This window comes from Homo sapiens, chromosome 8 (assembly GCF_000001405.40).
Source record: "Homo sapiens chromosome 8, GRCh38.p14 Primary Assembly".
Classification (NCBI taxonomy): Eukaryota; Metazoa; Chordata; class Mammalia; order Primates; family Hominidae; genus Homo; species Homo sapiens.
This window is the reverse complement of record NC_000008.11, coordinates 112845818-112868955: the sequence shown is the minus strand read 5'-3', so window position 1 is coordinate 112868955 and position 23138 is coordinate 112845818. Positions and strand designations below refer to the sequence as shown.

At 33.5% G+C, this 23138-nt stretch overlaps 1 protein-coding gene across 9 annotated transcripts in view; it reads left to right on the top strand.

Annotated features, from left to right (window-relative positions):
* The window catches only part of CSMD3 (CUB and Sushi multiple domains 3), a 1214012-nt gene that overhangs the window by 567984 nt on the left and 622890 nt on the right, over window positions 1–23138 (top strand). For all 9 annotated transcript variants that reach the window (NM_001363185.1, XM_017013010.2, NM_052900.3 and 6 more), the window contains one exon: window positions 9690–9811. In NM_001363185.1, the coding sequence (NP_001350114.1) occupies window positions 9690–9811 (122 nt within the window). The remainder of the gene's footprint in view (window positions 1–9689; window positions 9812–23138) is intronic.

Genomic DNA, 23138 nt, shown 5'->3' with positions numbered 1-23138 from the left:
TTGCCAAGATGAATGTCAAGGAGATTTTTTTCCTGTTTTCTTCTAGGACCTGTATGGATTCATATCCTACATTTAAGTCTTTAATCCATTTCAAGCTAATTTTTGTATAAGGTATAAGACAAGGGCCCAATTTCATTATTTTGCAAGTGGATATTCAATTTTCTCAACACCACTTGTTGAAGAGACTATTCTTTCCCCCATTTTGTATTTTTGGTGACCCTGTCACAGGTTAGTTGACTATATATTTATGGGTTTACTGCTGGACTTTCTGTTCTGTTTCATTATCTATCTGTCTGTTTTTATGCCAGTACCATACTGTTATGATTACTGTAGCTTTGCATATACAGTCATGTGTAACATATACAATCTTGGTCCCATAAAATTATAATGAAGCCGAAAAATTTATATCACCTAGTGACATTGTAGCCATTGTCACATCTTAATACAACATGTTACTCATGTGTTTTTGGTGATACTGGTGTAAACAAACCAACTGCTGCACCACTCATATAAAAGTATGGCACATACAATTATGTACACTACACAATATTTTATTATGATAATAAACAACTATGTTAGTGGTTTAAGTATTTACTACACCATACTTTTTATCATCATTTTGGAGTGTACTCTTTCTGCTTAAAAAGAAAGTGTACTCTTTTAGCAGTAAAACAGCCTTAGACAGGTCTTTCAAGAGGTATTCTAGGAGAAGGCACTGTCATCTAGAAAATGACAGCTCCATGTGTATTATTACCCCTGAGGATCTGTCCGTGGGACAAGATGTGGAGAAAAAAGACAGTGCTACTGATGATCCTGACCCTGTGTAGACCTAGGCTAATGTGTGTGTTTGTGTCTTAGTTTTAAATAAATTATAAAGAGTAAAAAATAAAAGTAAAAATAGAAAAAAGCATATAGAATAAGCATATGAAGAAATAAAATAATGATGTATGGCTGTGCAATGTGTTTGCATTTTAAGCTAAGTGTTGTTATAAGTGTCAAAAGTTTAAAAAATTGTGGAGTTTATAAAGTAAAAAAGTTACAGTAAGCTAAGGTTAATTCACTATTTAAGTAACAATTTTTAAAAAACAATTTATAGTTATATCTATGAAGTCTGCATTAGTGTATGGTAACACCTTGGGCCTTCACATTCACTCCTCACTCTCTGACTTACCTTGAGCAACTTCCAATCCTGCAAACTCTATTCATGGTAAGTGCCCCTATACAGGTGTACCATTTTTAATTTTTTTGTATGATATTTTTACCTTTTCTTTGTTTAGATATGTTTAGATACACAAGTATCATTGTGTTCTAATTGTCTGCATTTTATTGTATACAGTGTATCCAGTAGAGTAACATGCTGAAAAGGTATATAGATTAGAAGCAATAGGCTATACCATAGTGTAGTAGGCTACACAATCTAGATTTGTAGTAGGCTACACAATCTAGATTTGTGTAGTAAGCACACTCTATGATGTTTAATAATGACAAAATTGCCTCACAACACGTTTCTCAGAATGTACCTCCATCATTAAGCAACGCATGAACGAAGTTTGAAATCAGGGAGTGTGATGCCCCCAACTCTGTTCTTTCTCAAGATTGTTTTGGCTATTTGAGGGGAATGATATGCCATGACAGAAACTCAAACTATCAGCCTTGTTTCAAAGAATGGATGGTAAGAATAAAATTCAAATACCAATGATGATGGTTGAGCAAAGAAAGATTAGAAAGGTACCTGAAACATGTGGGTAGCACTTGCCTTGGCCTACTTCTGTGAAGTCAGGGATAGTTCCCTTTTCTTGCTGAGATATAGTCACACCATTTCTCTCAACATCCGAATCTCATTGTCTGCTGAAAGTTGTCCATCTTTAGGTACCAACATTTATCCATTTCCAGTGATTTCATATTTGCCCCTAAGAATATTTATTGTCTTGCCTAACACAGCCCAATGAGAAACATTTAAATAAGTAAGTCCTTTGTTGGTACATCTCTCTTCGTCTGGGCTATCCTGACTTGCACTTCACAAGATTTGAGCTGTACATACTCACTCATTGTTACATAGTTACATCTTATTAGAATATCTAATTTTCCCAAGTACAAGTTAGAATTTCTAGAAGCGATAGAAACTATTAAGTAAAAAATAATATGGCCTGTTTTGTCTATCACATCATGTGCAGCAGAAGAATTATAGTTTATGCTGTTGTCAATACCAAGTTACTTTCAGAGAATATCAAGTTAGTCTCTGACACTATGATTATTCATCCTTATGCCTGGCTAATAAACAAAGAAGCCACTGTAAAGATAGATAGAAATGTAATTACTTCTACTAGGGGCAAGACTACAACACTTAACTAACTCTCAGGTGAACAACCACAGAAAGGGAAATGCCGCAAATACATTTGAATCAAACTTGATTCTTCTAGCGGATTCATTATTTTCCATGTCACATATGTCAGCAAACAGTTTAAATAATAATAATAACATTACTCTGATATAGTAAAGGCCTCAATGGGCAAGAATATAACTTTCAGGCTCTATCAACTTCATTGCATCTCTTGGGAAAGCCATTCAGAGCACATAGATAGCTGCATGATGTAATCATATTATCATATTAGGCTTATCAGAGCTTATGGGTGACATAGCACAACTATCTAAGTTTACAAGTTAAAAAAAGCTGAGATCTAGGTGATTTGAATTTGCTCAAGTGGAAATATGAAGATGCAGGGATAGTTGAAGATTTGAAGATACAAGAACTACAAACTTCATCCTAAAGATGAAAAATGAACCACAAACTTCATACTAATAACTCCTTTAATGACATATGCTATCATACTCCTCATACCATCAACAAAATGTTCCTTACCAGAAATCTTTCAACAACCCTAATACATAGCCTTAGAACAGCAGGCAGTAGGACGTGCTTGTTCACACAATGTTAATGAATCCTTTGTGGATTAATTACCACATTCTACATTCACCAAAAGGTAGAAGCTTGAATTGCTACCAAAGCCCAAAGGGGAAAAAAATTGGAAGACATAAATGATAAACAAAACCAAATCTTTGTTGTGACTCTAAGTATTTTAATCATTTGCTCACTCATTCATTCATTGAGTGTCTTCCATGTGGCAGGCACAATTTTATGTGCTGGAGATTCCATGATAAACAAAACCAAGTTCTTGCTTTCATCAATGTGACATTCTAATGAGGAAAACAGACAATAAACAATGGTCTGTGTGTGTGTGTGTGTGTGTGTGTGTGTGTGTGTGTGTGTGGGGTATGTAAAGGTAATACTTAAGAAACTAAAGTTTAGAGATATTAAGCAGAATAGGCCTTGTATGGAATACTGTTTGAGTAGAAACTTATGCCAGGTGAGAAAAATAGAAAGTGCTAGGGTCTTAAAGTGTGAACATTTTCACTGTGTTTAAGGAATTACAAGTAAGTTAGTGGAAAGAGCTTTACAGAATTTACAAATTCTAAGAATCTGTTGGAGTAAGATTACAAAAGTCCTTCAATTTATTTTAAAAATCATGATGGAAAAATTCAAGAAGGAAAATTCCAGGAGAGAGTGAAAAAGGTACTTCAGGGCACAGTGGACCGAGAGACAACAATAGACAGATCTCAGTTGATATATTCTGTGCAAAAAAGAATCCTTAACCTGTGAATCATGTCCTTACTCAGCCAAAAAATAAAATGTCAGCCTGTCTTACTTGTGTAGTTGAAACATTGTATCTGGCACAAATCTAAATGCCTGAAGGTTACAGTTAAAGCTAAACATATTTCACTGTACTTAACATTATTCCTAGGCATTTTCCAAAGCATGGTTAACTGTATGTGTTTTACCTGAGGAAAAAATAGGAATACATTGGTAGACAAGCTAGGAATAAATCTTTTGGCTTCTGCTTCTGTACTTCTATCGATGTTAGCAGTATTTTGCAAGGTCTCTGCAGGTATTGGTTCATTTTATTCCACAAACAGGACTGTAAAATGTATAGGGTAGCCCTTTTAATCTTCCTTTATAAAAACACAGGTGGCATGTGAATGAAATAAGCAAAATATTTTATAAAATATCAACTCTGTCTAAAGCACTAAAAGTTAAGATAATCATAAATATAGGAAACGCATAAATATTAGCTAACCTATTAGTTCATTATAAACTGCTCAAATCAGGATGTTAGCATTTTTATGATAATAAGCTGTCCCATTCAGAACATGCCCTATCTTTCCGTTTCTACAAGTTTTATTTAATGCCCCTTCATTGTTTTTTTAGTAGTTACCTTTATAAGACTTCTGTCTTATATGTCTTTTGCTAAATATATTTTTTAAAATTATATATAATTCCTGCTGCTTGTATAAATTGGACCTTTCCATTTGAATTGCTAACTATTTTTGTTATAAAAGAAACCTATACAGCCGGGCACGGTGGCTCACGCCTGTAATCCCAGCATTTCCGGAGGCTGAGGCGGGCTGATCACTTGAGGTCAGGAGTTCAAGACCAGCCTGGCCAACATGGTGAAACCTCATCTCTACTAAAAGTACAAAAAAATGAACCGGGCATGGTGGCGGGCACCTGTAATTCCAGATACTTGGAAGACTGAGGCAGGAGAATCGCTTGAACCTGGGAGGTGGAGGTTGCAATGAGCCGAGATCATGCCACTGCACTCCAGCCTGGGTAACAGAGTGAGACTCCGTCTAAAACAACAACAACAACAACAACAAAACAAAAACAAAAAAAAGAAAGAAACCTATACATTTTTATATGAGTTATATATTTTAAAACCAAAATATAGGAATCTTGAAAATAATACAGCATATTGTGTTAGATAAATTATTATATCTCTTGAATGTAAGACAAAAATTATATTGCATGTAAATAATGACATGTGTTTCTTATTCAAATTATGTAACTCTTCAAATTTTTTTTATTTTTTTGCCCTGCCTGGAACCTCTAAGACAATATTGAATGGTATCACTAGTGTGGGGATCCACATTTTGTTCTAATCTTTAATGACCAAAGTTGTCATATTTAATTTATAACCCAATACTTGCTTTGATTTCATACATTCATTGGTTTATTTACAAGGTTTTTTTTCTTTTTCTACTATTTCTATTTTTCTGAGACTGTAGGCATGGAATTCTTATATACTAGGAAATTTCAGCTGAATTTCTCAAATGTACTACTTTACTGTAATCACGTTTATTTATTTCCTTTGTGTTACTAAAGGCTCCATTGAAGAGGCAAATTTGTATCAAAATAATGTTTGAACTCAATAAAATTGAATACAGACACCAATCTCCTTTACTTTGACAAATGGACACAACTAAAGTTTGTGGAAATATAAATAATAATGGATAATAAAGAAATTATGAAATTGAATAAGAATGGAGAGATGTGTGTCATCTATGTAAAAAATGATTAAAACAGTATGGTACTGGCAAAAGAATAATCATAGATCAGTAGGTCAATATTAAGAAAAAGGCTCAGATACATATATGGGTTTCTTATACATTTATGTACGGTCTATATAAATATAATATAAATGGTATTTTCAGTTCATGACGAATAATATAGAATTTACTATAAATGCTCCTTTACCTTGCCCCATATGAAACCAATTTGTAGAAGAAGTTTAATTATAATATAATAAAACTATTAAAGAATGAGAAATAAAGGTTGTATTTCAATCTTAGATTTGAAGAAAATCTTTCTTGAGTGAGATATAAAATACAAGATCTAAAAGAAGACACTGACAGATTTACACATATTTTTATGTTTACAGAGAAAAGTTAATTCAAAGCAAAATCGAAAACAACAAAAGTCTGTAAGAAAGTATTTGTAGCACATATAAAAGGGTTAATATTAGTAACACCCAGGAAGTTTCTATAGATCAGCAAGAAAAAATTGAAATGAGGAAAAGTGTACAAAGAGAAAAGTCAGAGCAAAAAATAGAGACAACAATAAATACTTCTGTTAAAGCATACTAAAAATGTAGAGAAAGAATTGGAAATTAAAACAGTGACATTCCTGACAGAATGACAAAAGCATAATGATTGATACTATTATTTTGGCGACAGCCTGGGGAACTGTTCTCTTTTTAATATTATTTTTGGGAGTATACTGAACAAACTTTTGGAGAGTAATTTAGGTATATTTATCAAAGTTTTAAATGCTCACATATTGTAACTAATTAATATTTCTTCTAAGAATTAATCCTACAATAATAACACAAGTATAAAGCACAAATACAATGGAATTGAAGAGAAAATTACTCATTGTTGTAAGCCACTGAGATTTTGCAGTTTGGCTTTCCATAATAATGAATTTGTTTTTATTTTTTCAACTATAAAACATAATACATAAATGTACCAAGATCTTCACTGTATTTGTGTTGCTATGTGTGAACTGCTGCAACTCTGTTCAAATAGCAGGTCTGTTCTACATGTCTTCTTATTTCCCACTGCAGGATTAAGGAAACCTCCTAATCATCCTGTGCTATTCTCATAGTGGAAGCCTGTCAAAAACGTCCAGTAGTTCTATCAGCTTCTGTTCATACTGCTAAATCTGCAAAAGAAAAAAACCTATATGTACTGACCTAGAACAGTCGTCATGATATATGCAAAAAAATCTTCAGACTAATATTATAGAATTAGCTATGTTTGTTAAAACACACAAATACATTAAGAAAACAAGAAATATGCAAAAACTCATAGTGCCACAAAACAAAAATGTCTGTAGATATACAACTTGTTAAGTGGTTACTGTCAGGTTTGGATGGAAGCAGATAAACAGACCAAAATATTTACAGGTGATTGTTACTTGCCGTTTTATAAATGTTTTTGCCTTATTCTTATAGAAAAAGAAAATCATTTTCATAGAAGACAGTTTTTCACTGTGAAACATATTTATGAAGATTCTTCATCAGCATGAAGAGAGCACTATTTTATAGTTAATTTAAGAGCTGTGCGAAAGAACTTGGATATTTGTTTCTTTAGCAAACGTACCTACATCATGAAAGCCATTGTACTATGAGTTAACAAAGATGATAAACAAGGCCTTGACTTCAAAAGATTCTAAGTGTGTATATAGTTTAGAAAACAAAGGATGCCAGAGAATTACGAAGTATTAAGTACCACTCAGAGAAGGAGTATATTCAATCAGAAAGCTATAGCCACTACAAACCAATTGCTTTGTGATTGCTATAAATTTCTCATTTCTATAAAGGTCTTAGACTCTTTCACGCTACATTCCTTATCAGGCCACTAGCACCTAAACACTTGTATAAATGTGCTGTTCAAATAATGTGCTATGAAATGTATAATCCATTACAGAATCCTTAGTGGAAGAATTAGAAACCCTTCTTATGGAAAGAAGTGGCACATCACCTTGGCTTTGTTTAAGTAAATAGAATATCTGCAAGTAAATGTAAGAAGGAATAATATTCTAGACCTAGAAAACAGCATGAAAAATATAGAAAATTATAAAGAGTATGGTAAATCAAAGAAGAGCAAGATGTCTGTTCTGGCACAAGTAAAGTGTATGACTATGTAAAATGGCAGGTCATTGTACTAGAAAATAAATTTAGGTCCTCACAGGAATAATTTTATACTCCCTATTAGGAATTTGTACTTTATTCCATCGGAAATAGATACCAAGCTTTCATGCAGTTAGGTAATGTAATTAAATCTGTGTTTTAGAAAGATAAATATAGTAGCAGTGAGGAGGATGTAATAGAGAAGTTGGAGTCTAGAAAAGGGGTTCAGTAGCTATTATCAGTACAAGAAAAATGAGGAAGAAGCACTGGACACTGGGAAGAGAAGAAATGAAGCAAAACAGAGATGTTTCCACAGAGGAAAACAGAATAGACCTCGAGGAGTATATATTATGCAAGGCGAGGATCTGGATAGTCTATTCAAGAAATATTTAATTGAAAGTGCTTCCTCAAAGCATCTAATGGAATGTCCAGCGGACAGAAAATTAGTCTAGAAATCAGGAGAGATGCCAAAGCTGGTGATGTAGATTTGAGAGCTATCAACACAGAAATGTCCTTTCCAGTCATAGAAATGAATTAGTTTAACTATTCAGAGAAACCATTGAACAAATAGAAAAGAGAAGGTTAAGTCAATTTAGAATTATGCTACTTAAGGGTCAGATGGGAAAAATAAAACAAGAACAAATAATATGGTAGAGCAGAACTATTTAAAACACATGCGAATAATCAGGAGAGCTTAATACTATGTAAGGGAAGGCAGAGAATTTCAAACAAAGCTAATCAATATTATCAATATTTTGCATTACTGCTGAGATATCAAATATGTGGAAAAATGAAGAGATACTACATTTAGCAATTATGAGTTCATTGCTGGCTTTGAAAAAGCAATTTAAACACTGAAATGAGAATGAGAATCAGACTGAAATATTTTGAAGAGTGAAAGGGGAGAGAAAAATGGAGTAGTGAGCATAGAGTATTTACAAGAAGTTAAGTAGTAAATGGGGAAAAAAGATTGAATTGCAAATAATGGTAAGGGAAGAAAAATACAATTTATTATTTTTTCTATACAAAATAATATGATTTTATTGGTTAAAATACAGAAATTATACACACACACTCACAAGATAATTAAAAGTACTGTAACTATTAAATCAACACAAGATATAACCATCAAGTTGCAGGAAAGTTGTCTGAAATAGATTTATGCTATTAAGAGAAGAAACTAATAAAGAAATCTACATGTAACATACAAGAAAGACACACTTTTAGTGATGTAAAAAACAAGACTTGAATCAGAAGACCTGGGCTGAAATTCTGACTACTGTATACTAGAAGCATGACTTTGACCATGTCAAGCAAACTTTTAGGAGGTCCATCAACTGATTTTCAAAGTGGTGATGATGATAACTATGTACAGATTTAAGTGCATATGAAAATATACATTTAACTGTTCATCATTTAAATATACAATAGATTATTTTTGACAGATTAGAAAATGATAATATGGGCAGGATTTGATAGAACGGGGCAAAGATATCCAAATCAAAAGCAGTGGCATCCAGAAATTTGTGGTCATCAAGAAGCAAGAAACAGAAACAGTATGGTCACTAGCTCATTTATTAAGTAGAAGAAAGATGGGTTAGAAAACTGAGAAAATGCTACAACTTTCAACTTTTGTGGGAATTCATTACAATTACTTAAATGTAACTGCTTTTTTTTTTAGTCTGAGTTCTTTAATTCATAGTTATAAGTACAGAAAGAGAAGTTTTTCTATTGATGGTTCTCAACTGCACTATTGTGAGTCCTAGGGTACTTAATAAACACAAATGAAAACACTTCTTAGATTGCTTCATTAACCCAAGGCTCTGTTTCACTCTCTTTGTATATTTTTGTTAACACAATATTGGGTACATATACCTTTCTCTAATTAAACACACCTATTTAAAGTCAGAGAAGCATTTATCATGCCCTCAAATTTCTATTCATAACTAGTGTTTTCCATTAATGTTGAAAATATCGAGCTTGTGAATCCCAGGGTGTTAAAAACACTGTATTTTGATAAGTGACATTAGAATACCATAATATATATTTCAATGTGGTTATAATTGTGTCATTTTGAATGTAAAGTCTATTTGCAAGATATTTTATTGTTGTAATTTTACATGTGACATATGTTCATCTTTTAAAATGCAATTTCTCTTTTAGTGAAAACGTGTGGCTCTAATCTTCAAGGACCAAGTGGTACCTTTACATCTCCCAACTTTCCGTTCCAGTATGACAGCAATGCACAATGTGTCTGGGTCATCACAGCAGTGAATACAAATAAGGTAAGAGAACACCATCTGTGATTTAAAAAAAAAGTCATAATCATAAAGACAAAGGCAAAGAAATAATACGGAACATGCAGTATGGAAAATTTATAACTCAAGTAGGATTTTGGCGCAATATTCCCTACTTAACAGTTTATAAACCAGATTTATATGAGAAATTTGGGAAAAAATAAAAATAATACAATTCTACTCCAAGCTACTAACATATAAACCAAAAGGTTAAAATTACAAATGAATGCTTTCTGAGATACATTTTTGAAGGTTGTAAGTGTATCCTTTTTAAAAGGAATCATGAATAGTGGCTGTTTTTGTGTCTTTTCTGTTTGACACATCATTCAGGTCAATCCTGTTTTTATACATAGCTGACTTTAATTTCAATGTTTCTCTATTGCTATATATCACATAGCTATTTATTTGAAATAGTTGGTTTAATGTGCTCTGCACTAATAAAGAATTTATATTATGGATATTTCAAAAAGTTGAATTGCCTTTCTATTTGATTCTAATATGAGTAACACATCTAAATATGTATGTGCCACTATACCTCAAGCAAAATTATAACACAATGAATGTAAATGCAGCTGAAAATTTTGCTGTTTTTTCTTTCCTGCTCTTGCTATCCTGCTTCTGTTTGTAAGATGTGATTTTATAGCAATAGAGAGGACCTAAATAGGAAAAATCATCATTTCTCTCAAATCTTCAAATTATGTGATAACTTCTTTGGGCTAGATTTTAAAGTTTGGTGGTCGAGCTCATGAAATTGGTTCAGATTGTGTTTCATATACTGATGTATAATTTTCAGATAACTTTAAGTTATTTAACCTCTCTGATGTTGTTTCTTTATCTATGAAATGTGAATGATAAAGACATGTATTTTATAGTATCATAAGAAATAAGCAAGATAATGCAAACACAGTTGTTAGTAAAGCTAATAAGACCTTGAAATACATTATTAATTCATTGTTATTAAAGTATATATTGCCTCCCGGGAATTTTTGTGATCACTTATCAAGTTCTTGAAACCTAATTCTAAGATCAGCAGAGTTGGTTTAAAACTCAACCAAGGGACTATTAGATTTGTCTCATAGAAGAGCCCTGATTTATAAATCAGAAGAACTAGATCAGAAACCTACTCTGCCCCAAATTATCTCTATAAACTTGGGTAAATTTCTAAATCAAACCCCTCAGTTGCATGAAGGAAATCATGTTATCCACCCAACCTGTGTCATCAGTTCAATTCAATGCAACAAATATTTATTGGTTTATTTCTCTGTGCAAATTATTGGTTGTTGAGGAAAAAAAAAAACATGAAGTGCTTGGAAAACTGACATTTGTTGAACACTTAGCAGCATGCCGTACACTATTCTCAGTAGTTTTTTTCTAGCACTTTTTATGAATTATTTAATCCTTGTAAGTCTCTCATGAGGGAGATACTTTTATTGTCTGCATTTAAGCAAGCCTATAAATAACTTGTCAAAGATCACATAGTTAGCAAAGGTCAGAGGTGTGTACTTTATGAGATATGTGTAGGTACAAAGACTTATCTCACAGTAAGGTATAAATATCTTTTTCCAAGATAGACATGAAGCAAATTCATTATAAAGTATGGAATAAACACATTTAATTAATCTTGCATTGAGATGGAGATATTGTTTTGTCTTCGCAATTACATGTAATTGTCATCAACATGTGGTATTATCTCATGTTCAATAAGATGTTTGCTTTGCTAACTTTAAATCATTATTATTACAGAATTACCTGAAGTTTCAGAGGTTGTCACATTTCTACTTGTTTATATTATCTAATCTACTCAAATTTATTTCTCCTTTTTCTCCAACAAATGCAAATTATTTTCTTAGGAGGACATAATTACTTTCAGTTCTTTGCTATTTTTTATTAATAAATGTAGACACTTAATTTTGATCTGTTAGGTTAACTTTTTTAAGATGTCTTACAGAAATTTGTTTACAAGAATTATTCATCATGAGCCACAATAAGGATTATATTTTACCTTGTGACCTAGTTCAAACACACAGACACACACACACACACCACAGTTTCACACATATAAAACATTTTCCCTTACATGAATGCACTCCTGTATTTTCCATTCTAGTCGAATGTAATCTGTTTATTATTAAAACATTGATTATGTCCCACTAAATTAATTTCATGATGCCCTAACAGTTTATAGCACATAGTTTTAAAAACACTGTTAGAAGTATTTGCTTTCTTAGATTACTCCTTGGAACCCTTTTCAGAAGGAAATTGTTGGTATAAATAATAAGCATACAGCTATACTAGTTGGCATACATCCCAATTAACCAAGGTGATTAATACCTCTACATTTATAATTTGTTCAGTAATTATTGTTCATGTTTTCCTGTATATTTGAGCAATTATGGTGTTCTAAATGTACTAAAAAGTACATGGTTGATGGAAAAAGTAACCTGAGATTTAAAACTTGATGAAATTAATTAAACAAGTTTCAATCTGGGCTGTCACTCTCACTATGAGAGCCCAGCCACAGTCTCTTTTTCATAGAGTAGAGGTCATAATACCACATCATAAGGTTGCACAGATAAGAACATGTGAAACTCCTTATATAAAGTAAGTTCACCTTAAGTGACACCTATTTTTATTGCCAAATGCTGCCATCTCCTCAGAAACATACTTCCCTCCTGTTATTTACTGGACTTAACATGTATTAAAGCAAAATTATCATTACATATAATTTTCTTCTATATTTCATTATATGGTTGAATAATTTATAGGTGACTGTCTTATTCTAAAACATTAAACATTAAGTTATTATTACTAATCAGTTTACAGACATTGCAATTAAGTTCACAGAAAATAAAATGTAATAACTGAGCATTATAATCTAAACTAATATACATTTTTGATGTTCATTTATGCCCCTTCCACAAGCTTCTGTAAGGGAATGTTTCCTTTAATTATGGCATTTGAGTAATGAAAATAATTGAGGGTTTCTTTATAACAGCAAGTTAAAATATTAGACTAGCACTTTAAACATACCTAGTCTTTGAATTAATTGTTCTTCTTGCATTAAGGTACACATTCAACATTAGCTCCATGTGTGAAATGAAGACTGAAGACATACCTCAATCTGTTTGTTCTTCTTTATTAATTTCCCTCTTATACTTGTTTTTCCAAGTTTCAAAAGATAATCATATATTACTTCTCCAACTGGAATAAAAATATGTTACATTGCTTGAGTGTAAATAAAACCCTGGAGAATTAGAATAGGAAATTCCAGATTCATAGCTCCTCAGGGACAGATCTTGAGACAAAGAAAAAAAAAAAAAAAAGCTTCGCTAAGACATATTTGAAGGGAATCATATCCTATTAACCAAGCAACAAACTCATAGAAATGCCCATGTCTGCATCTATGCATCTCTGTCTCTATCATCTATTTCTCTATGTATTTATTTGTGTATACAGGTATGTATGTTATATATCTATCTATCTGTCATCTATCATCTAATTGTCATTCATCTATCATCTGTCATTCATCCATCCATCTATTTTTTCATCCCTCTATTTGTATCTCTATTTATCCTTATATAGAACTCATGATACTTAGGATATTATAGGCCAATTTTAATTAAAACACAAAGTCTGACTTTTTTAGACAGAAAGAGTTTCTGATTTGTCTGATTGATTTTACAGTTTTTCCATTTATAAAATATCATGCACATTTTCCATAAATTGAGTTAACTAATGATGCAAGATTTTGAGAAAACTATATTTAAAATACTTGTGAAATTGGAGTAGAAATTGCGTCCTTTGCAGCTATTCACACTAAGAGTTTTAAATAATAGATGTCAATGTAAAATTGTAGGAGAAAGTACAGTTTCCAAAATCTTTTTATTTATGTGAGCAAGAGTTTGAAGGATATTGGTCTAGCCGATACAAATGGAATGTGAGCTGCATCTTTAATTTTAAATTTTCCAGTAGCCACATTTTTTAAGAGATGAAATTAATTTTAATTTTATATTTTATTTAACCACAGATATTATGATTTCAACATGCATTTGGCATAAAATTAATGCAAGAATTTACCATCTCTTCTTTTATTCTTAATCTTTGAAATCTAGAATGTATCTAGCAAGTTTATCACATCACAGTTCAAACTAGCCTTATTTTTAGTGCTCAATAGCCACATATTGCTAGTGGCTACCATATTGACCATTTCCATCACCACTGAGATTTCTATTGGATTGCTCTGTGTGGAGAATGAAAGGTGATGGTGGTGGATATTGAAGAGAATAAATGCCTCATTGCAAGGTAATTGCCTCAGGTGAAGTTTTTGCTAGGACTTCAGGGAAAGGAAAAATGGAATGGCAGAAATTGGCAGAAATGACTCTGAAAACTCGGGTTTTAAGATTCTGTACTTTATCACAGAGCATCCAAATGTCTCCATTTTAAATTTCATGATCCCATTCCTTCTCAGTGAATTCCCTAGCTTCCACATAAGAAACTTTGTGAGTCTGTAAGTTCAGATTACATTCTAATTAGGTAACTTGCATAATTAAATTTGGGGTATGTTTTAGCCATACCTGCCCAGTGCTACAGGTTCACCATAGACGGTCTCTTGTTCTCTGACCATGATGTGAGCTGTAATTTCTCTTTCTGGCTTCAATGCAGTCATCAATTGCCATCTCCCTCCATTGTCCTTGTAGTCTTGGATATGTTAGCCATCAAGTGCAGCAACCCCTTGCCCTCTCCCCACAAATTTTGTTTTCAAAATCTGTTTCAATCACAAAAGATAAGTAATTGCATATGAATTTTTTACTGTCCAAGAACTCAGCTCTGGCAAGACCAAAAAATAAGCAAACCACTCCCACAAAACCCATTTTTGAAAGTCTTAGGCTCACTCTTGATATGAATGACTACACTGACAAGGTCTAGTCAGAAAAATATAATCTGTATTAGCTATTTAAAATGAATGGAATTTAATTTGGGGAATTGTTACACAGGCATTGCATATGTAATGCATAAAGAGTAAAAATTAATGAAGAAGCAATAACTATGTAGACAGATACCATCCTTTTTTCATCCAGAAAGAAAAGTAAAAACTGTGGTATTACCAGAACCTAAGAGCTTGCAGTAAAAACAGTCTAGACCTGGTGCTCAAATTTCAAAGGAGGAAATCTTTCATGGTTGGTGGTCACACCTCTGAGGAAAGGATGTGAGCTAGCAGGTTTAGGCATCCACTAAAGAAAAAAAAAAGAATCTGAGAATTGTAATGTGCAGTGTTCTAACCCAAATATCAAAGGGCAGAATACAGAAGGGTTGGCTAGAGCTAAGAGACAGCAGATAAATAATTAGCACAGTATTGCTTTCAAGTAAAAGGGAAAAGCTACAGGTGGAGCTGGTTTAGGAGAAAAAACAGTTTATCTTTGTTACATTTGAAATACCTGTTAGATTGGATATCAAGTGGGATATAAAATCCAGATATCCTTTTTTAAAAGGATAGAGGTGAAAGTTTGCAAATTGTCAGCTATAGATGTTATTTGAAACCATGAGACTGAAAGATCTCAAAGAAAGTCTTAGAGGGAAAGCCACAGTTAGAATACATAGTGGATGAACGGCCAGGTGTGGTGGCTCACACCGGTAATCCAAACACTTTGATATGCTGAAGAGGGCAGATCACCTGAGGTCAGGAGTTTGAGACCAGCATTGCCAAAATGGCAAAACCCTGTCTCTACTAAAAATACAAAAATTAGCCAGGCATGATGGCAGGCACCTGTAATCCCAGCTACCAGGGAGGCTGAGGCAGGAGAATTGCTTGAACCCGGGAGGCAGAGCTTACAGTGAGCCGAGATCATGCCACTGCACTCCAGCCTGGGCAACGGAGTCAGACTCCATCTCAAGGAAAAAAAGAAAAAAAAGAAAAAAGAAAGTGATGAACAACTGGCAAAAGCTAATGAGTAGGATGCCTAGTTGAAAATATTCTTGCATATTTTTCTGTATACTTCTTCTAATGTTACATTTTTATGTGATTGAAGACTGCCCATTCCCAACCCAGGAAACAAATATCCGTGGAAGAATCAGATTAAGTGTCTCAAGTATATTTGAACTACTATTTGAAATGTAAATATATAACATTACTAATAAAAATTCCAAAATGTATTTGTATTATTAATATAATCAGAACAACACTTGCTATTTATTTATTTATTTATTTATTTTTGAGGTGGAGTCTCACTCTGTCACCCAGGCTGGAGTACAGTGGCACGATCTCGGCTTACTACAAGCTCTGCCTCCCAGATTCACGCCTTTCTCCTGCCTCAGCCTACCAAGTAGCTGGGACTACAGGCGCCCACCACCATGCCCAGCTAATTTTTTGTATTTTTAGTAGATACGGGGTTTCACCGTGTTAGCCAGGATGGTCTCAATCTCCTGACCTCGCGATCCACCCACCTCGGCCTCCCAAAGTGCTGGGATTATAGACGTGAGCTACCATGCCTGACCTATTTTTTCTTAATTGATAATGGATGAACAACTCTATCTCGTGTGAGTGTCCCATTAATTATTTTCATTCAAATTTCCTTCATATTACTTACAAAGTACTTCTCGTATTCAAGATTGGAAAGCACTGATAAAAATAAAATACAGTGATCAGAATTACTCAAGTGTATTTGCCTTTAAAAATTAAAAGATCAAATGAGAGAAGCATGCAGTCCCTTTCTTGTATTCTGGGTCCAGTCCTTCTTACTATATCATTGACTCCACTTTTTTCAATTAAGTATAAATGTTGACTTTTGCAGGAAAACAAAAAAATCCAAATTTCAGTCCTAAACTGATATTTTAGGACTCAACTTGAAGTCACCCTTAATTCTAATCTTATCACATGCCCTATAATGAAAATTAAGTTTGGGATTTATTTTTAAGTTTGGTGTTAGTGATTGGAAATCTGTCCTGTTTTCTACCCATGTGTCCATTCTATTATCTTTCATTGTTAGGTTGGGATCTTCCCTTGTCATCACTAGTCCCTTTTTCAGGTACTGAAGTCCTATTGCTGATCCATACCCTCCTTTCTGGAGCTTTGAAACCCACCAAAATAACTTCTCTAAGCAAATTTTCTGACTTGCTGCTCCTGGCTCCCTCACTGCTCTGTTGACCCCTGAACCAATCTTCCCAAAATAACCTTTCTCTTCCTTTACTGCCATCTACTTGTTGCCATTTATCTAATAGGTGTCCTCTCAAATTTTACAACTGATTCTATCCTCTGAGACTTTCTTTCTACTGGGGAATACTTACTTATTCATTCAAATAAGTATGTATTGAGTAGCTACTAATCCCAGGTGTAGTTCTTGAAGCTGACGATTCAAAGGTCTTTTTTTTTTTTGAGATGGAGTCTTGCTCTGTCACCCAGGCTGGAGTGTAATGGCACGATCTCAGCTCACTGCAACCTTCGCCTCCCAGGTTCAAGCAATTCTCCTGTCTCTGCCTCCTGAGTAGCTGGGATTACAGGCACACGCCACCACACCTGGCTAATTTTTGCATTTTTAGTAGAGATGGGGATTCACCATGTTGGCCAGGCTGGTCTCGAAGTCCTGACCTCATGATCTGCCCGCCTCGGCCTCCTAAGTGCTGGGATCGCAGGCATGAGCCACCGCGCCCGGCTCAAAGGTCCTTTATATCACAATTCCCTTGTATCCTTTATGTCACGATTCTCTCTCTCATGGGTTTTACATTGTTCTCAGGTAGATTATCAGGGGGAAGAATGAGAAAAAACGTGAAACTGGGCCTGTAGTAGACTTGAATCCATGTTAGTTTTTTTGCTTACACAGCATCCATCTGTTCTCCATAATTTTTAAAAGCCAAAAAACTACCTTTCTGCCATTCCGGGTGGTCCTGGAGGGGACTTCAATCAAAGTTACGCTGTCCCTAACCCTTCCACCTTCATTTGCCAAGAAGATCTCATACAGTGGTATGCTGGAAGTAACTTTTATCAGCTCTTGAGAGCACTGATGTAATTATAAGGAATATAACAAGCTGGTTGTTAAGCATATCCAATAATAAAATTGAAATCATCTGAACTAAAATATAATGTTATATTAAAAACAAAAGTAATAACTACACAAGATGAACTAAAATATAATGTTATATTAAAAATAAAAGTAATAACTACACAAAACTCATTATTTCATAATCTTTTACTAGACTTTACTATTAGCTATGCCCCTGAGGTTATTTAAATCTATTTTGACCATATGCTGGACCTACTATATAATGATGAAAGACAGTGCATCTCTGCCCCAATCTGTATTCAGTCTCTTTGGCAGCTTCAATTTGGACACAGTGGTACAATTTACACTATAGAAATAGGCAAACTCAAGAAATCAGAACTTTTCTTCATTGTGTAGACATAGAAAGTGAAGAAGAAAATGTTGATACTAAAGATTCAATTTTGAAGTGTATTGAGTCTGTAGCGATTACATTGTGAATGGCACAAAAAAATTGAGGAAATATTCTTCCAGTATTCAAAAACTATGATCTGTTTCAATAATGAAGTCATTCACATCATTGACAAACAAATGATGTTTCAACATATGTATTCATTTTTATAATTGTTTCACTCATTAACATAAATTAAATATCAACCAACATTCATGTGAGAACTATACCAGTCCATTCATCAATTTGTAACCATGAGTTAGCTACAGATACAAATGTTTGGCAGACATCAACAAAAGCATTTTCTGCAAAGCATTTGGCTGTGTGGAATTTATAATCAAGAATATTGTATATTTGTCATTATTTGTAAATTCTGTGTTACACATCCTTTATATAAGTAAATTTTTAATAAGCATGTTTTTCAAAGAGCCAATTATTAAGCATTTACTAATACACTCCTCATGTCATGTGACCCAAGTTTAGTCACTCCATTTCTTACTGAACCTTGAAAAAAGTAGCACACACTGAAAAATATTGGTGTTGATTTATCAGAAGGAAAACACTTCAGAATAATAGTAAATAACAATAGTTAACGTTCACTGGATGTTTACTATATATGAAGAATGTTTCTAAAGCCTTTGCATGCAATATTTAATTTAGTTTTACAACAACCCTAACATGTAGGTACAATTATTATCCCTATTTTTCATATGAGGAAATAGAGTCAGAGAGAGAAAGTAATTTGCCAAAGGCTACAATTTAACTTTGAGAAACTGGATTCAAAACTAGGCATTGACTCTTACAGTCATCACTGATTCTTTCCTACTACCTAGAACCCAAAGTTTCCTGGGCTTCTATCCTTTATTTAGTCTGGAATTTTAGCTTTTGCTTGCTTCTGTGTCCTACCCCATAACTTAAAATACGTATTTTACTTAAGCCAGTCAAAATGGTTTTCTGTTACTTCTCACCAAAAAACTCTGAGACAGGGAGATAATGATATGCATCATTTTGTTTTTATCTCCTGATCTAGTATAAATGGAGTCTAATCCAATATTTAACATCCCAGTTTGCTTCTAGAATAATTCTAGCACATTCCACTATAGCCTGAAAATTGATAATATGCTTATTTCTTCTATTTTTATCCATATCTGGTTGGAGAAAATCCAGGTGATTAAAACACATGCTAGTGTTGGCTACCTTTACTTTGTTAGGTTGCTAATAGATTTTTGAGATGTGATTCTTCCAATATAAACATGTAAATTATAGTAAAATTACAATGATTTTAATTAGACAATTCTTCCATATAATGTAAAGAACTAAGCTGAAAATGTAGAGGAGCATAATTCTTTATGGCTTTTTGACCACCCCCTGCTCTCTTTAAATGTAATATACTTTTATCAATATTGAGTTATTGTTATGAGGATAATTTTGATGACTCCAGGATGTCAGCAAATCTCACAACGAAGAAAATACAATTCTTTGAGAGGTGAGTAATGAAAGATTAAATTAACTGGGCATAGAAGAATATAATTCATAGAGAATAAAGACAGGCATATGAGGTTGACTTCAGATTATAACTCTCGCTAGCTTAGTAGAAGTCTTAATTGTCGGAAGAAATAAAATATGTCATCAAAAGAATAAGTATTGATTATGGCTTTAAAAAATGTTGCATAACACTAGACAAAAGCATATTTGTTTTTGTATTTTAAAACTATGAATATTTACTTTGTTTTAAATTTGCGTCACATCACTTGTGGATCTTAAAATTTAGAGAATATGGCTTACCATGACCAAGGTGAATTAATGAAGGAGGTCAAGGGACTGGTATGATTTTAAGTGTACATATTTAAAAATTCACTCTGGAGCTTCCCACCCTACTTATAAAAGCCTTTCTTTTGTGGAATAAGACATGGATAGAATGTGAACCTGAGTCAAAAGCCCTGAATTGTTGTGCAGATCATCTCACCTCTCTGAATCTCAGTTTTCTCATCTTTAAATTAGGGGTAATCATCCATGCCTCACCATGTCATAGGAGTCTTGAAGTATCACACAAGTTAATAAATAAAACAGCACTTTGTACATTGGAAACTACCTTGTAAGTTTAAGGAATTATATATGCTTATTTTTCATCCCATCCCTTATTCCAAAGATAACTTTTAGTGAATGACATTATCAGATAGACCATTATACATATATTGAGATATGTTGAGTATTTAAGGATGTGTAAGCATAAGCATAGTACCTAGCTCATAGTGGGTGACCAGTTAACATTTATTGTATAAATAAAATAATTAATTAATATGAATAAGCAATATATATTGTTCGGAAATTACTAGGTGCTTTAATACAGCACAGTCTAAGATGAGTGCACAATGAATAGCAAATATTTTGTTGGTATTTGTACTGCTTTATAAATAAATGCTAACTACATTTATATTAAATCATATTTGTGCCTGTATATTATTTTCTCTAGAGCTACCATAAGGCATAGTTACTGGGTTTTTCATATAGTTCTGATAAAACTTCATTACAACATTTCATATCATTCTGAAACATAGATTTGATTTCTGTTGAAGTGAAGTATTAAATGAGTTTTTCTCTGCTCTTATGTTTTTATGGACACTTGCCCCAAACTTAAATTCAGGTAAAGGACAGCCTTTTCTAGTAGGAGATGAAGTTCCTTTTCAGACAGGCCATTCCATTCTTTGGCTTATTTTAAAAACAAGTAGTGAAGGTCCAATTTATAATGAAGGTAAAATTATTAAACTGTGAAATATTACCTTTGTACATTCAATACATTTAAGCCCATGTTTTTTCTTTAGATCCATTAAATACAATCTTAATCTTCCTCCCCATAAAGTCTTCAGGCATCAGAATACACTCTTGAACTCACCTGTAACACTGTCATCTGAACAATTCTTGTCACTTTTCCATCTTTAGAGATAGCCTTTTGCCACTTCATTTAGTCAGCCCATTTATAGGTACTAGTTCTTTGCGCCAAATATTTGGAGATTTGGTACTTGTGCCAAGCTTCAGTGCCAGGTCTGAAACCTCAGCCAGGCATAGAGAGTCACTTTTCTGCAGACTATAGCTGTCTTCAGTTATGTTCCTGAAAAAGCAGGCCCAAGAGAAGGAATTATATGCTGCTGATTCATTAAGAAAGTGTATCCAGGAGAAACTATTAAGGGAGTGGGAGAGGCAGGACAAGAAGGAAGTTAAGCAAGGTGCAATTTCAGACAAAATCCAAGCCTCTGCTGGATCTCATGCAGTGTAAATTACACCTGATAGTTTATCCCAACTCAAGGCAAAGAAGCTGTGCTCTCATACTTCTGCACCCCATGATCATAGGGTAAGTGATACCCAGATCTTTCAGGGCTCATGTGTGGACCAAGTGGGCTCCTGTAGCCTGAAAGCAGTCTCCAGAAGACTCATAGCTATACACGTTTAGAGACAAATGCATAGTGTATGGAAGATAATGAACAGATAACAGAAAGGGCAAGAAGCATCCAAGGGGGTTATTGATCACCTGGAGCATTGACAGTATCTACTACAATGGAGCAGGCACTAACAAGACCAAACCTGAGGCAGCAGTACAGGGATAAACTGAAATTAAAGCCAGGTTGGCAGTCTTAACAAAGCATGATTCAGAAAGAACCTAGTAGCAGAGTGAAGATCTTGATACAAAACAATTAGATGGAAATTAGAAAAACCAACTACAAGGTTCCCCAAGCCAAGAAAAGTAGCTCTGGTCACTATTTATAGAACACCCAGGCTTGGCAGTAGAATTTTAAAGGCGCTGATCTTTTATTTCCCCTCCTCTTAAGTGAACCATATCTGTATAGCAGTACCTTAACTATTCCTAACCCCTACCAATGGTACTTATTTTTTTTGTTCAAATGGTTTATTTAATTGAAATACTTTATTTAAAGTGAATTACTCTGTGCAAGTACAATAAAATTAAATATCAATAAATATAAATAAATAAATATCAATAAAGAAAAAATGAGGCCAGATACAGTGACTCATACCTGGGAGCTACTTTGGGAGGCCAAGGTGGGAGGATCACTTGAGGCCAGGAATTTGAGACCATCCTGAGCAACATAGCAAGACCCTTTTTCTACAAAACAATTTTTAAAAATTAACCAAGTGGGCATGGTGGCACATGTCTTTAGTCCCAGTTACTCAGGAGGCTGGGGTGGAAGGATCACTTGAGTCCAGGAGTTTAAGGATGGATGAGCTATAACCCTGCTGCTGCATTCCAGCCTGGGTGACAGAGCAACACCTATCTCAAGAAAATTAAAAAGTGTATTTATAAAGGGAAAGAAAAAAGGAAGGAAGGAGGGAAGGAAGGAAGGGAGGGAGGGAGAGAAAGAAAGAAAAAGAGAAAGGAAAGGAAGGAAGGAAGGAAAGGAGAAAGAGAGAGAGAGAAGGAAAGAAAGAAAGGGGAAAAAAGAATATTTCTTTTTTAACATGTTAAAAAAGAATTATCTTTTTTAAGAATAATTTTAACATGTTAAAAAAGAATTATCTCTAGATAGAAGATTACATGCATTTTCCACTTTAATTTTGTACTAACAAAAAAAGTATCAAATAAGATATATGCTTCATTTTATAATGAAAACACATTTTTAAATAATAAATTAAGTAAAAGAAAGGCATAGGTATAGAGTGAGTCATATTATTGACTACTTCCTTTTCCTTGAAACTTTATCCTCCCCAGCCTCTTTATTCTCTGTTTTCCTGAATTTCCCCCTACGTTTCCAGGCTTTTGCTAGTGACCTTATCCTTAAATATTAGTGTTCCTCTATATTAATAATTCAAACATTTTTCATTTTACATCCTTCCCCTTTTCCTTCACATATCTAAATACAAAGTCCAATGACTTCATTATATT